This window comes from Homo sapiens, chromosome 5 (genome assembly GCF_000001405.40).
Source record: "Homo sapiens chromosome 5, GRCh38.p14 Primary Assembly".
In the NCBI taxonomy this organism is placed as follows: domain Eukaryota; kingdom Metazoa; phylum Chordata; class Mammalia; order Primates; family Hominidae; genus Homo; species Homo sapiens.
The window spans coordinates 103,422,674-103,423,886 of record NC_000005.10 but is presented as its reverse complement, the minus strand read 5'-3'; positions in this window follow the sequence as shown (position 1 = coordinate 103,423,886).

Here is a 1,213-nt window from a genome sequence, read left to right as displayed (position 1 = left end):
GTTCTAGCTTCTCTCATCTTTCTCTGGAATGTTAATTGCATGTGAAATCAGATAGTAATTGGACCAATATACTTACATACAGCCCTAGTTTTTTCAACATTTATTGTGATTTATAGGTTTCCACAAAAATATACTTATATTGTTTTCAGCTATTTTTTTTCCTTATTCTCATGAGAACATCTTGATTTTTTTAGAGGAATTTGTGTGCACGTATGTATTTATCATCTTTTAAAAAAAACTTTCTTAGGCATTTTCAAGTCCTGAGATAATACATTTTAAAATTCCATGACAGAGTTTTAATTGGACAAAAAACCCTTGAAATGCACTGGCAATAATGGAGGTCCCCCTTCTACTACAGTCCTGAAAAGATAAGTATCATTAACAATTGGAAGTTTCTCTTTTCCCTGACAACATCCATTTTTCTGTTCACAACTGTAGCATTTTACTTCAGGAACTGCTTATACTTGGTTGCAAATAAAGGAGTGGCTTAGAATTATGTGTGTGTCAGTTCAGCTAAAGAAGATATAGGTGCTAATCAATGGATTGCTAGAGTGGTAACATTTCTGGTTTTTCCCTGAGAATAAACAAACATGTCATGACTTATTTAAGATTATTGTTCCATCATATCCTGCTTCAAACTCAGAATGCTTCGGAAACCAAATAAAATAAATGTAGCCACCTGATAAAACTATGCAGGATTTATTTTTTCTCATGCACATTGGTAAAAACAGCAATAGGTCATAATACAATTGATAAATACTAAATTTACCAGAGAAAAAGTTAGGACCACAGCATTAATATTTTTAGCCAAATGATAAAATTGATTTTAAGAATGTATTAAAATCTTTAGCCTCATGGATGATTTACTGATTCATTCATTCTCAACATGTGCCAGGTGCTGGAGAACAGCTGCCTTGTAAACAAGGTCTGTCCTTATAGAGGAGCTGACCAAGAGGATCTCTCCCTAGTCAGAGGAGTCTAGGAATAAACTCATGATACAGTAAAAAAATTAATTAAATAAGTACAAAAAGTGATGAACACAAGGAGGAAAATAACCACTTTATTCTGAGGAGAAAAATAATGTTAGTCATATAGGATAGGCAGGGAAGTTCTATTAAATTAAGACCCAGAAGAGGAGAAGCCTCTTTGGGAACAGCTGGATTTCTGTGGCAGCAATAAAAACAAATGAACAATTCAGAAAAGAGGTTGAAGA